Here is a 14,957-nt window from a genome sequence, read left to right on the forward strand (position 1 = left end):
TGGCTGACTAGAAGCGCCTTGTACTCCCCACCTCCACAAAGAAAACCAAAATAATGAGTAGATAATTATACTTTGAGTAGATCACTTAAGAGAGAACACTGGAATTCAACAAAGAAGTGGCTGCAAATGCCTAAAGCAAAGAAGGAGAGAGATTCAAGGCAGTCTGCTCAGCTAGGATTGAGTGGGATCCTGGAGAGGTTCCCCCAGTGTAAGTAAGAGACACCCAGTGCTCTATATTTTCACTGCAGACTTCTGTAATCCTAGCATGGGAGTCCCTTAACCCTTAAAGGCGCTGAGACTAACATAGAGAGCTTCATGGAGACCTTGAGAAAGCATTGGTCCAGAGAGGAAGCTCATGCTGGTTCCCACACAACCTCTGCATCCCAAACAGTGACTGCGTGATGCTATATTGAGAGCTCAGCCCTCACCAGGCTGCATCTTTCCTGAGGGCTCAACAGTACCTGCATCTCCACATCCTTGGGGCCACAGTGACATCCCTCAAGTGTAGACATTGCTGAAGCTGGATGCTGCTGCCAGGGCTGAAACATCAGTCATTAGCAACAACCACACTGCCCGAGCAGCAGTTACCATGTACTTTCAAGAACCCTGAGGACAAACTCCCTTGCCTGCAGCATCATCAATGCAGCCTGTTACTGCCAGAACCAGAGTGTGAGCAAGGCACCTACTCCCCAGACACCTGCTTAAAGTTACTGCAAATAAAAGCAACCCCACCATCCTCAATAGCAGGGCTGCAGTACAGCCACTGCTGCCCACATCTGAGCATTTGACCCAAGGCCTGGGGATCACCCTGCCTCTGCCTACCACAGCTAGAACCTGCAAACACCACTAGGGGTCCTGTTGACTAGCCATTCCCCCCCAACTTCATTGTCCCAATGCACAAGCAAATTTTCCAGAAGTCCTGAGTACCAACCAGCCAAATCTACCATTAGCACATGAGTACTCCTCCTAAGGACCTGTAATCAGGCCTGCCCTCTTGTCACTAACTCGACAGCTGACTCCTATCCACATAAGCCACCTGCAGGCCTGGGGACTGGGACACCCACCCAGTCTGTCTCAGACACTGCCAACAGCAGTACAGAACACATGGAAGCCATCCATTATTGCTACTGCCATCATTTACAACATGCCTGCTTCCCAGGGGCCCAATAATCTACCTACCCACACAGTTTACTGCTGCCAATAATGAGATACAAACAAGTGGATTGGAAACCCAATAATTGGCCAAACTGGACTCACTAACATAAATGCAGTTACTGGCTGTCCTGGGGCCCAAGGACAAGCCCATGTGGCATCTTTTTTCCTGGCAAAACCTCAGCATAGCCACCAATAACAATTGCATCCAAGCTACTAAAGAAATCATAGACACCTCTGATGCTATTACAGTAAAAAAAAAAAAAATACAGAAACTACGCTACTGCATGCGCCCAGAATAAAAGGATACACTAACCAACAAAATACATGCATCTTCAGGAAAATATCCTGTCCTACGGAAGCAAATTCAAGAAACTGGTATATCAGATATGTTATATCAGATACGCAGATATCAATGTAAGGACACAAGAATTCTGAAAAAGCAAAGAAAAATGATACCTCCAAAGAAACGTAATAATTCTCTAGCAACAGATTCCAATAAAAACATTATAAAATCTTAGAAAAATAATTTAAAATAATGATATTAGAGAAAGTATGTGAGATGCAAGAGAGTGCAGAACAAAAAGAAAAAAATTAGAGAAATAATTTAGAACATGAATGAGAAATTTACCAAAGAGATAAATATTACAAATAAAGCACAAGCAGAAATTCTGGAATAAAAGAATTTATTAAGTAAAATATAAAATACATGCAAAGTCTTCAAGAGTAGACAAGAACAAGCATAATAAATAATTCCAGAACATGACTATAGGTGTTTTGGAATCCAGTAAGACAAAAATAAACAAAAATGAATAAAAAAGAATTAACGAAGTCTTCATAACATATGGGACACCATTAAGTGACAAAATATTCAAATTTTGGTTGCCCAGGAGATCAGGAGAAAACAGAAAGGCTAGTAAATGTATTTCACAAAATAATAGCTGAAAACTTCTGAAGTCTAGCAAGCGATTTAGATATCCAGATACAGAAAGTTCAGAGAACCACAAATAGACACAATTCAAGAATGTCTTTCCAATAGCACATTGGAGTCAAACTGCCACAAGTTGGAAACAGAGAACTGTAGAAACATCAAAAGAAAAGTAACTAATCAATTAGAAGAAAGTCCCCATCAGACTAACAGCAGCTTTCTCCACAGAAACATTACAGGCAAAGAGAGAATGAATGATATATTCAAAGTGCTAGAAGAAAAAAAAAAAAAAAACTGCCGGAAAAATATACTATCACAGTAATGTTTTCCTTTATACGTGAAGGAGAAATGAAGTCTTTCCAGATAAGACAAAGCTTAGGGAATTCACCACCACTAGACAGACTCTAGAAATAATGTATAAGAGACTCTTACACTGGAAGTGAAAGGACAGTATCATCATTAAAAACACAAGAAAGTATGAAGCCCACCAGTAGAGCAAACACACAAATAAGAAAGAGAAATGACTCAAATTTTACCACTACAGAAAACCACCAAACAACAATGTCAAGCAAAAGAGAGACTGGAACAAAGGATAGAACAAAGGATACACAAAATGACCAGAAATCGGTTAATAAAATAAGTTCTCTTATTACTAATAAAATTTGGATGTAAATGGATGAAACATTCCACTTCAAAATATAGACTGGCTGAATGAATGATACAAATGGCCCAAATATATATTTCCTACAAGAAACTGATCTCACCTATAAAGACACATCTAGACTAAAAGTAAACAATGGAAAAAGATATTCCATGCAAATGTAAACCAAAAGTGAATAGAGTAGCTATACTTATTGCAGGTAAAACAGACTTTAATTAAAAGCCATTAAAAGAGATAAACAAGGTTCCTACATAATAATAAGACAAATCAGCAAGAGAATATAAAAAATTTAAGCATATATGCACCCAACACCGGAGCAATAGATATACAAAATATACAAAACAAATATCATTAGATCTAAAGGGAGAGATAAACTCTAATAAAATAATAGTTTAGTTTGAGAATTCAACACCCCACTTCCAGCATTAGTCCCATCATCTAGACTAATAATTATAAAAGAAACTTTGGATTTAAGCTGCACATTAGACCAAATGGACCTTAAGAGACATTCACAGAACACTTCATCTAACAACTACAAAATACAATGTTTTTATAGACACATGGAATATTCTCCATGATATACCACCTGTTAGGACACAAAACAAAACTCAGCAAATTTTTAAATATTTAAATCATATCATGTATCTTCTCAGACAATAACAGAATAAATCTAGAAGTCAAAAACAGAAACCTGGGAAATACTACAAATACATGAAAATTAAACAACATGTTCCTGAATGGCCACCAGGTAAACAAAGAAATTAAGGAGAAAATCAATAAATGTCTTGAAACAAATGAAAATGAAAACCCAATATACCAAAACCTATGAGATACAGCAAAAGCAGTGATAAGAGAAAAGCTTATAGGAAAAAATGACTAAACCAGAAAAGTAGAGATTCCAAATAATTTAATGATGCACCTCAAGGATCTAGAAAAGAAAGAAGTAAAGAAACACAAAATTAATCAAAGGAAAGAAATAATGTAAATCAAAACAGAAATAGATAAAATAGAGACTAAAATACCAATATGAAAATTCAACAAAATGGAAAGGTTTTTTAAAATTTCAACTGCTATTTTACATAAAGAGAGTACATATACAGGCTCATTACATGGGTATACGGCAGGATGCTGAGGTTTGGGATTAGGATCCCATTATCCAGATAGTGAGTATAGTACCAAATAGGTAGTTTTTTTCTTACCTCTTACCCCTCTCCCTCCCTACTCCATCTAGTACTCCACGTTGTCTATTGTTCCCATGTTTATGTCCATATGTGCTCAATGTTTAGTTCCCACTTACAAGTGAGAACATGCAGTATTTGGTTTTCTGTTCCTGCATTAATTTGCTTAGGATAATGGCCTCCAGTTGTATCTATGTTGCTTTATGAGACATAATTTTATTTATTTTTATATCTCTGTAGTATTCCATGGTGTATATGGAGCATATTTTCTTCATCCAATCCACCACTGATAGACACCTAGGTTGATTCCATGTCTTTGCTATTGTGAATAGCCCAGTGATGAACATACAAGTGTGTGTGTGAGTGTGGTAGAATGATTTATTTTCCTTCAGATATATACCCAGTAAAGGGATTGCTGGGTTGAATGGTAGTTCTCCCTTAAGTTCTTTGAGAAATCTCCAAATGGCTTTCGACAGTGGCTCAACTAATTTGCATTCCTGCCAAAAGTTTATGTGTTCCCTTTCCTCTGCAGCCTGGCCAGCATCTGTTATTTTTGACTTTTTAATAATAGCTCTTCTGCCTGGTGTGAGATGGTATCTCATTGTGGTTTTGATTTGCATTTCTCTGAGGATTAGTGATGATGGGCACGTTTTTCACCTGTTTGTTGGCTGTGTGTATGTCTTCTTTTGATAAATTTCCATTCATGTCTGTTGCCCATTTTAAATGGGGTTCTTTGTTTTTCTTTCTGATTAGTCTAAATTCTTCGTAGATTCTGGATATTAGAAGTTGGTCAGATGAATAGTTTGTGAATATGTTCTCTCTTTCTGTAAGTTGTCTGTTTACTCTGTTCATAATTTATTTTGCTGTGTGGGCGCTCTTTAGTTGAATTACATCCCATATTTCAACTTTTGTTTTTCTTGCAACTGATTTGGGGGACTTAGCCAAAATTATTATTCTCTGAGAAGGGCATTTCCTAGGTTTTCTTATAAGATTTTTTAGTTTGAGGTCCTACATTTATGTCTTTAATTCATCTCGAGTGAATTTTTCTGTTGGGTGAAAGGTAGGGGTCCAGTTTTTTTCTCTGGCTAGCCAATTATCCAAGCACAATTTATTGAAAATGAAGTACTCTTCCCATTGCTTATTATTGTTGACTTTGTCAAAGATCAGATGATTGTAAGTGTGTGGCTTTATTTCTGTGTTCTCTATTTTGTTCCATTGGTCTGTGTGTCTGTTTTTGTACCCAGTTTCATGTTGTTTTAGTTACTGTAGCCTTATAGTATAGTTTGAGGTTGGGTAGTGTGATGCCTCTGGCTTTGAGCTGAGAAAGAAATCAAGGAGGAAATCTGATTTACAATAGCTACAAATAAAAACAAACAGTAGGAATAATCTTACTAAGAAGGTGAAATACATCTACAAAGAAAACTACACACACTGATGAAAGAAATGGAAGAGGACACAAAGAAATGAAAACAATATCACATGTACATGGGTTGGAAGATTTAATATTGTTGAAAAAAATTATACTGCCCAAAGTACTCTACAGATTAACTGTGATCCTTATCAAAACACCAATACCATTTTTCACATTAATAGGAAAAAAATGCTACAATTTGTATGGTACCAAAAAAATGCCCTAATAGCCATAGCAATCTTGAACAAAAAGTACAAAGCTAGGGGCATAACACAATCTGACTTCAAAATATCACACAAGGCTATTGCAACCAAAACACCATTGTGCAGGTATAAAAAAATACACGTAGCCAAAGAGAATAGAACAGAAAATCCAGAAATAAATCCACGTGTTTACAGCCAACTGATTTTTGACAAAGGCACCAGGAATGGACACTGTGGAAAGGATACACTCTTTAGTGAATGATGCTGGGGTAATTTGATATTGACATGGAGAGAGGAATGAAACTGGGTCCCTGTTTCTCACCATATAAAATAATCAACTCTAGATGGACTAAAGACTTAAACATACCTGAAACTCTAAAACTACTAGAAGTAAACACAGCAGAAATACTTCAGGACATTCATATAGATGACGATTTTATGGCTAAAACTTCAAAACAACTGGCAACAGAAGCAAAAATAGTCAAATGGGACTATATTAAACTAAGAAGCTACACAGCAAAAGAAAAAAATCAGAGTTAAGAAACAAGATGTTAAATAAAATAAAATGTTAGCAAACTATTCATCAGACAAGGCACAAGTACCTAGAATATATAAGGAACTCAAACATCTCAACAGTAAACCAACCAACCACACACACAAAATAGTCTTCCATATTGATCTCGAGTTGGAAGAGGCAAGTCCGGTCTCAAAATGGAGGTAAAACCGCAGCCCGGTCGCCCCCAGCCCAAGTCTGGCCGCCGCCGTCGCCGTCGCCGCCGGCAGGAGGAGGGCCATGATCCAAGGGAACCAAAGCAGTTGAGAAATAATCTCACTAAAAAAGCGGGCATAGGCCAGGCACGGTGGCTCACTTCTGTAATCCCAGCACATTAGGAGGCAGAGACGGGCAGAATCTTGAGGCCAGGAGTTTGAAACCAGCCTGGCCAACATGTCGAAACCCTGTCATGAATAATAATAACAATAATAATAATAATAATAATAATAATAATAATAATAAAAGCTGGGTGTGGTGAAACTTGCTTGTAATCCCAGCTACTCGGGGGTCTGAGGCATGAGAATCACTTAAGCCCAGGAACCGAGGTTGCAGTGAGCTGAGATTGTGCCACAGCACTCCAGCCTGGGCAGCAGAGCGAGACTCTGTCTCAAAAAAAAAAAAAAAGGAAAAAGTGGGCAAAATGAATGAATGGGCATTTCTCAGAAGAAGATATAAAAATAGTCAAAAAGCATTTAACAAAATACTCAACACCACTAATCATGGGGACAATGCATATCAAGACTGCAGTGAGACATTATTTTACACCAATTAGAACAGCTATTATTAAATGGACAAAACATTAACAGATTCTGGTGAGGATGGGAAGAAAAGGGAGCTTTTATACACTGTTGGTGGGAACGTAAATTAGCATAGACACTATGGAAGGCAGCCTGGAGATTTCTCAAAAAAAGTTTAAAAGTAGAATTACCATATGGTCTAACAATCCCACTACTGGGTATTTATTCAAAGGAAAATAAATCAGTATATCAAAGTGGTATCTCCACTACCATATTTATCGCAGCACTATTCAAAATCACAAAGATATGAAATCAATTTAAGTGTCCATCAACAGATGAATGAATACAAAAACATGGTATATATACACAATGAAATAATATTTAGCTATAGAAAAAAAAACTTGTACACTGTTGGTGGGACTGTAAACTAGTTCAACCATTGTGGAAGTCAGTGTGGCGATTCCTCAGGGATCTAGAACTAGAAATACCATTTGACCCAGCCATCCCATTACTGGGTATATACCCAAAGGGTTATAAATCATGCTGCTATAAAGACACAAGCACACGTATGTTTATTGCGGCACTATTCACAATAGCAAAGACTTGGAACCAACCCAAATGTCCAACAACGATAGACTGGATTAAGAAAATGTGGCACATATACACCATGGAATACTATGCAGCCATAAAAAATGAAGAGTTCATGTCCTTTGTAGGGACATGGATGAAACTGGAAATCATCATTCTCAGCAAACTATCGCAAGGACAAAAAACCAAACACCACATGTTCTCACTCATAGGTGGGAATTGAACAATGAGAACACATGGACACAGGAAGGGGAACATCACACTCCGGGGACTGTTGTGGGGTGGGGGGAGGGGGAAGGGGGGAGGGATAGCATTAGGAGATATACCTAATGCCAAATGACGAGTTAATGGGTGCTGGACACCAACATGGCACATGTATACATACGTAACAAACCTGCACATTGTGCACATGTACCCTAAAACTTAAAGTATAATAATAATAAAATAAAAAATAAAAATTTAAAAAATTAAAAAAAAAATCTGTCACTTAAAGCAACATGGATGAAACTGGAGGTCATGATGTTAGGTGAAATACGCCAGGCACAGAACAACAAATATTGCATCGTCTCACTCATATGACAGAGCTAAAGATTTTAGTCTCAGGGAGGTAAAGAATAGAATGATTGATACCCAAGGCAGAAAGGGGTGGAGTGAAGTAGGTAAAGAAAGGTTGGTTAAAGGGTAGAAATATACAGTTAGATAGAAGGAGTGTGTTCTAATATTTGATAGCAGAGAAAAGTGACTACTAGTTAACAAGAATGTATTGTATATTTCAAAATAGGTAAAGAGAAGATTGGAAATGTTTTCAACACATTGAAATGATAAATACTTGAGGAGGTGGACATCCCAAACACACTTGCTTGATCATTACACTGTCTATTCGTGTAACAAAATATCACATGTAACCCATCAATATGTGCAAATATTATGTGTCAATAAAAAGAAGGTATAAATGTATTATGAGCCCATATTTCAAATGCTAGGAATTTATCCTACATGTATAAAAGTGTGAGTGCTTAAAAATACTATTATGATATTCACTACAGCACTGTTTGCAATAGAAAAAAAGAAAGTAAAAATACAAAGAAAAATAATGTTAATAAACAGAATGGAAGATAAAATATTATACAGCCACATTATAACCATGTAATGTTTAAGACAAAGAAACACAAGTTATAACTATATGTACTTAGCATAGAACTATAACTGTGATATATTAAAGGCAACAGGTAAGTTACAAACTAATATATACAGCATGTCCCATTTGTTCCATGGTGTACATGTCCCATATGTACACCACGAATGTACATATGCATGCATTTATGTCTTTCTTTCTAAGTATGATGAAACCTGTAATAAATTATTTAAATAGATGAGATAGAGAGAAGATTCTCACCAAAAACAATTTTTAAAATAAAATGCAAGAACTGAAAAACAGCTTATTTGAGGCTACTTAACATATGAACAAATAGCCCAATGAAATTCAAACATCCTGAGGGTTTTATTATATTGCTGATATTCACTGATAGTCATGTTAATCATCATAATTTCATAAAATAATTTTATGTTCAGTTATATCTTTGCATAACGTTATAGTATGCTAGTCCATACTAAACACACAGACACACACACACACACACATTTTATTATATTTAAGAGGTGAGTAAATTTTGCTGTAGCTTTTTCACTCTTCTATGGCTGGCTGTTTTTTGTGCCATCCTGTTATTACTGCACCTTAGCAGTAATCAATTCTGGTATCAAATATTTTGATACTCACTTAGACCAATGTATTAACTCTTCTAGATTTTGCTTATCTCCAGTACATAAACAGTAAACAAAAGAAACAAAACTTAACAAATAAATAACACCACCCTGACCTAGTCGAAAGTATGTAGGATGTGAATTTAAGTTCTGGCTATGTCACTTAAGATATGAAATTTAAGCAAGTTGTGACATCACAGAGTTCCAGTTTTCTCATCAGCAAAGTAAGAATACTATCTTATGGATAGCATTAATTTGATTTTCAAATCAGGTTAGGTACATAAAAGTGCCTAAAATTTTCACTGAATTAGTTGAATTTGAATAAAAATCTTTGTTTTTCATTATAAAAATGTTCAAGCCGTGAAGAAATAGTGGGCATATTTGAGGTATCTGGGACATTTTCTTTCTTCTAAAATCTGTCCATAGGTATAAAGGGTCATTTAATGTTTTAGGAGTGCCTGATCAATGGCTAGCTGTACGATAAACTTTCAAGGATGATTGCATTGTCACATTGCTATTCAATTCTCCTCAGGCAAGGTGCATCTGAGCAGAACACAAGAACAAGATAACTTATTCAACAAATATTTATTGAACAACTTCTGTGTGCAAAACACTGTTTGAGTTCTTGGACATACAAGAATCGACAAAACAGATGAATTATCTGTCTTCTTTAGGCTTACATTGTAGTGTAAAAAACAACGAAAATAGAATAAACATACATTTATAAAATACAATTTCATATATAGATAAGTGTTAGGAAAAAAAAAAGAGGGTGGATAAGGAATTTTTAACTAGAGAGAATAAGTGTTTTTCTAGAAGGTATAGTGGGAGGAGTCTTCTCTGAGAATGTAATATTTGACCAGAGACTTGAAAGAGATAAGGGAGTGATTCATAAAGATATCTGAAAGAAGAGCCTTCCCAGCAGAGGAAATAGTAAGTGCAAAGACTCTGAGGTGGAAATTTGTCCAGTTTTCTGAGAAACACCAGGATGTCCAATATAACAAGCTAAGAGAGTGGCAGGGAAGCTGTTCAGTAGATAAAACACGAGGTCAAAATGTACAGAATCATAGGGTCTTACTTGGAATTTTGCTTTTATTAAGATCTGCCTCAACTTTTAACAAGATCCTTTTGGCCGTTAGGCTGTAGAGACTTTATGAGGGTGCCAAACTTGGAAGAAATATTGAAGGTAGACTCAACAGAATTTTCACAATATGAACCCTGTGAGACAGACCCAAATAAAGATCTGGTCTCCCCAGTATGGCCAGCTAGACACGGCCAGGAGGAACATCTCCCACCAAGGGACTGGGACATCAGGAAGACCAGCATCCTCCTATCAGATCTTCAGAAAGAAGGCATTGAGAGCAGATGGAGGGAAGATACAGAGGGAGAGGAACAAGGACTCATTCCTGGTCTCCAATGACTCCCGCAGAAGAGGTGAGTTGAACAGGCAAGGAGCAATCTGCTCTTGCCACAGGCCTCTGGAATCCCTTCAGGCAGAGACCCCTTAACCACCACAAACCCTTGAATTGGCAGGAAGAGCTGCTTAGAGAAGTGGTAGGGGCGGAGCTCAAGTCACTGAGGAGACCAAAGGGTTTGGTGTGAAAGGATTTATAGTACCGCACGACGAGGGATTCCCATATCCCTAGGCTCAACTTGCTCTCATAGGAGACGTTAGCCCTAGAGGAACTGTTGGATCTGAATTCTGCAGGGTAGTCTTGCTCATGAGATGGGGCCAATTCAACCAGAGCATCCCTCAGTCTGCTGGCCCATCCTGGGGCTGCAGCCTAGCCATGCCCTACTTGCAATGCAGCCCCCAGGTACCTGCTGGAGGCCTCCATCATGGCTCCTATGCTGGCAGACCACACCTGACTGGCAGAGTGCTCCAGAAAATCAGCCCCCATGGACATGCACAAGCCTTCCTGGGCCCTCTCCCCACTGCAGCCTACCCCGTGGCACTTTGCCAGCACACACTCACCCATAGCCATCCCCCATATCACATCACTGGCATGTGAATGTGTAGGTGGATCTTGCCTTCATTTCCCTGCCATTGCAGCTGTGCACATACATCCTTCTATGCCACTGCTGGTGGTGTGACTGAACCCCACCCACCCTCCCCTTTTTACACTGCAATTGTCATTGGCACTTTGGTGAGTACAGAGACTGCCAGCCCTGACCCCATGAGCACCCCACCCCTGTGTTGACACTGCTGCAGGCAGAACAGCAAACTCACCCCTGCCGTGAACAGCCAATGCTGCAAGAGTAAATGCGCACAGAGGGTGCATACAGTCGTGTGCCCACCAGTGCCCTGGCCCTATGCTAACACCACCACCAATATGAACACATGAACAGTTGCAGGTGGGGGTCCCCGTTCCCTGAAGCCATGCTGCCACTGCTCCTGCTCTGAACACCCACACAGAGGCTGGCAACCCAGTACCCACTAGGGCCCTGTCGCAGCTGAAGAGCATGCACCCTGCCATGCTGCTGCCATCACTGCTGCTGGCACAAGCAAATGAGGACAGATCCCACTGATACCACCCTGTGAAGTGACTTGGCTGACACCAATCGTTGGAGTGCTGTGACAAGCAGTCTGGGAGCACCTCAGCCTCCAAGTGCAGAGGGTTCCTCACCTTGAGGAGCCAGAGGAAAAAGTAACAAACAAAACCTTAAAAAATTACGGGATTATGTAAAGAGACCTAATCTATGGCTCATTGGTATGCCTGAAAGAGATGGGGAAAACGGAACCAACTTGGAAAACATATTTCAGGATACCATCCAGGAGAACTTCCCCAACCTAGCAAGACAGGCCAACATTCAAATCCAGGAAATGCAAAGAACCCCTACAAAATACTTCACAAGAACATCTCCAAGACACATAATCATCAGATTCTCCAAGGTCGAAATAAAAGAAAAAATGTTAAGGCAGCTAAGAGAAAGGACAGGTCACCTACAAAGGGAAGCCCATCAGACTAACAGTGGACCTCTCAGCAGAAACCGTACAAGCCAGAAGCGATTGGGAGCCTATTTTCAACATTCTTTTTTTTTTTTTTTTTTTTTTGAGATGGAGTCTCACTCTGTTGGGAGTGCAGTGGCAGCACAATCATGGCTCACTGCAAGCTACACCTCGCAGGTTCACGCCATTCTCCTGCCTTAGCCTCCTGAGTAGCTGGGACTACAGGCACCCGCCACCACCCCGGCTAATTTTTGGTATGTTTAGTAGAGACGGGGTTTCACCGTGTTAGCCAGGATGGTCTCGATCTCCTGACCTCGTGATCCGCCCGCCTCAGCCTCCCAAAGTGCCGGGATTACAGGTGTGAGCCACTGCACCCGGCTTTTCAACATTCTTAAAGAAAAGAAATTCCAACACAGAATTTTATTTCCAGCCAAACTGAGCTTCACAAGCAAAGGAGAAATAAGATCCTTTTCAGAAAAGCAAATGCTGATTGAGTGTGTTACCACCAAACCTTTCTTACAAGAGTTTCTGAAAAGAGCACTAAATATGGAAATGGAAGACCATTATCAGCCACTATAAAAACACACTTAAGGCCGGACGCGGTGGCTTATGCCTGTAATCCCAGCACTTTGGAAGGCCAAGGCAGGTGGATCCCGAGGTCAAGAGATCGAGACCATCCTGGCCAACATGGTGAAACCCCGTCTCTACTAAAATTACAAAAATTAGCTGAGCATGGTGTTGTGCGCCTGTAGTCCCAGCTACTCGGTAGGCTGAGGCAGGAGGATCACTTAAACCTGGGAGGCAGAGGTTGCAGTGAGCCGAGATTGCTCCACTGCACTCCAACCTGGATGACAGAGCAAGACTCTGTCTCAAAACAACAACAACAACAAAAAAAAAAACAAAACAAAATATCCCCCCCAAAAAAACACACTTAAGTACACAGACCTAAGACACTTATAAAGAAACCACATAAATAAGTCTGAATAATAACTACCTTAAGATACTGTGACAGGATAAAACCCACACATATTAATATTAACCTGAATGTAAATGGGCTAAATGCACCAATTAAAAGTCACAGGGTGACTGCAGGATAAAGGGTTGAAGAAAAATCTACCAAGCAAATAAAAACAAAAAACAAACAAAAAAAAAACCAGAAAAAAACCAGGGGTTGCAATCCTAATTTTAGACAAAACAGACATTAAAACAACAAAAAAAGGCCAAAAAGGACAAAGAACAGTATTACATCATGGTAAGGGGTTTAATTCAAGAAGACCTAACCATCCTAAATATATATGCACCCAACACAGGAGCACCCAGATTCATAAAGCAAGTTCACAGAGATCTTCAAACAGACTTACACCCCCACAAAATAATAATGAGAGACTTCAACACCCCACTGAAACTACTAGCCAGATCATCGAGACAGAAAATTAACAAAGATATTCAGGACCTAAACTAAAAACTGGATCAAATGGACCTGATAGAAATCTGCAGAACCCTCTACCCCTAAACAGAATATACATTGTTCTCTTCTGCACATGGCACAAACTCTAAAATCGACCTCATAATCAAACATAACCAATCCTGAGCAAATGCACAAGAACTGAAATCATACCAACCACTCTCTCAGACCACAGCATAATATAAATGGAATTCAAGATTAAGGAAACCACTCAAAACCATACCCTTACATGGAAATTAAACAACCTGCTCCTGAATGACTTTTGGGTAAATAATAAAATTAAGGCAGAAATCAAGAACTTCTTTGAAACAAATGAGAACAAAGATACAATGGACCAGAATCTCTGGGACACAACTAAGGCAGTGTTAAGAGAGAAATTTATGGCACTAAATGCCCACACTAAAAAGTTAAAGATCTCAAATTAACAACCTAACATCACAACTATAACAACCAGAGAACCAAGAGAAAAACAACACCAAAGTCAGCAGAAGACAAGAAATAACCAACATCAGAGCTGAACTGAAGAAGATTAAGACATGAAAAACCATTCAAAAGATCAACAAAGCCAGTAGATGTTTTTTCTTTAAAAAAATATAGATAGATGACTAGCTAGACTAATAAAAAACAGAGAAGACTCAAATAATCATAATTTGAAATGACACTGGAGATATAGCCACTGACCTTAAATAAATAGAAATAACCATCAGAGACTATTATAAATACCTGTATGCACACCGACTAGAAAATACGGAAGAGGTGAACAAATCCCTTGACACATACATCTTTCTAAGACTGAACCAGGAAGAATTTGAATCCCTGAACAGACCAATAACAAACTCTGAAATTGAATCAGTAATAAATAGCCTACCAACCAAAAAATATAAAATAAAAAGCACAGGACTAGGTGGATTCACAGCTGAATTCTACCAGATACACAAAGAAGAGCTCTTACAATTTTTACCAAAACTATCCCAAAATATTGATGAGTATGGACTCCTCCCCATTTCATTCTATAAGATAAGCATCATCCTGATTCCAAAACCTGGCACAGACACAACGAAAAATAAAATGTCAGGTGAATATCCTTGATGCACATCAATGCAAAAATCCTCGACAAATGCTAGCAAATCAAATCCAGCAGCACATCAAACAGCTCATCTACCACAAGCAAGAATGCTTCATCCCTGAGATTCAAGGTTGGTTCAACATACACAAATCAATAAGCATGATTCATCACATAAACAGAACTAAAGACTAAAACTACAAGATCATCTCAATAGATTCAGAAAAGGCTTTCAATAGAATTTTACATATTTTATTGAAAACTCAACAAGCTAAGTATTGAAGGAAGATACCTCAAATTAAGAACC

This window comes from Homo sapiens, chromosome X (genome assembly GCF_000001405.40).
Source record: "Homo sapiens chromosome X, GRCh38.p14 Primary Assembly".
Classification (NCBI taxonomy): domain Eukaryota; kingdom Metazoa; phylum Chordata; class Mammalia; order Primates; family Hominidae; genus Homo; species Homo sapiens.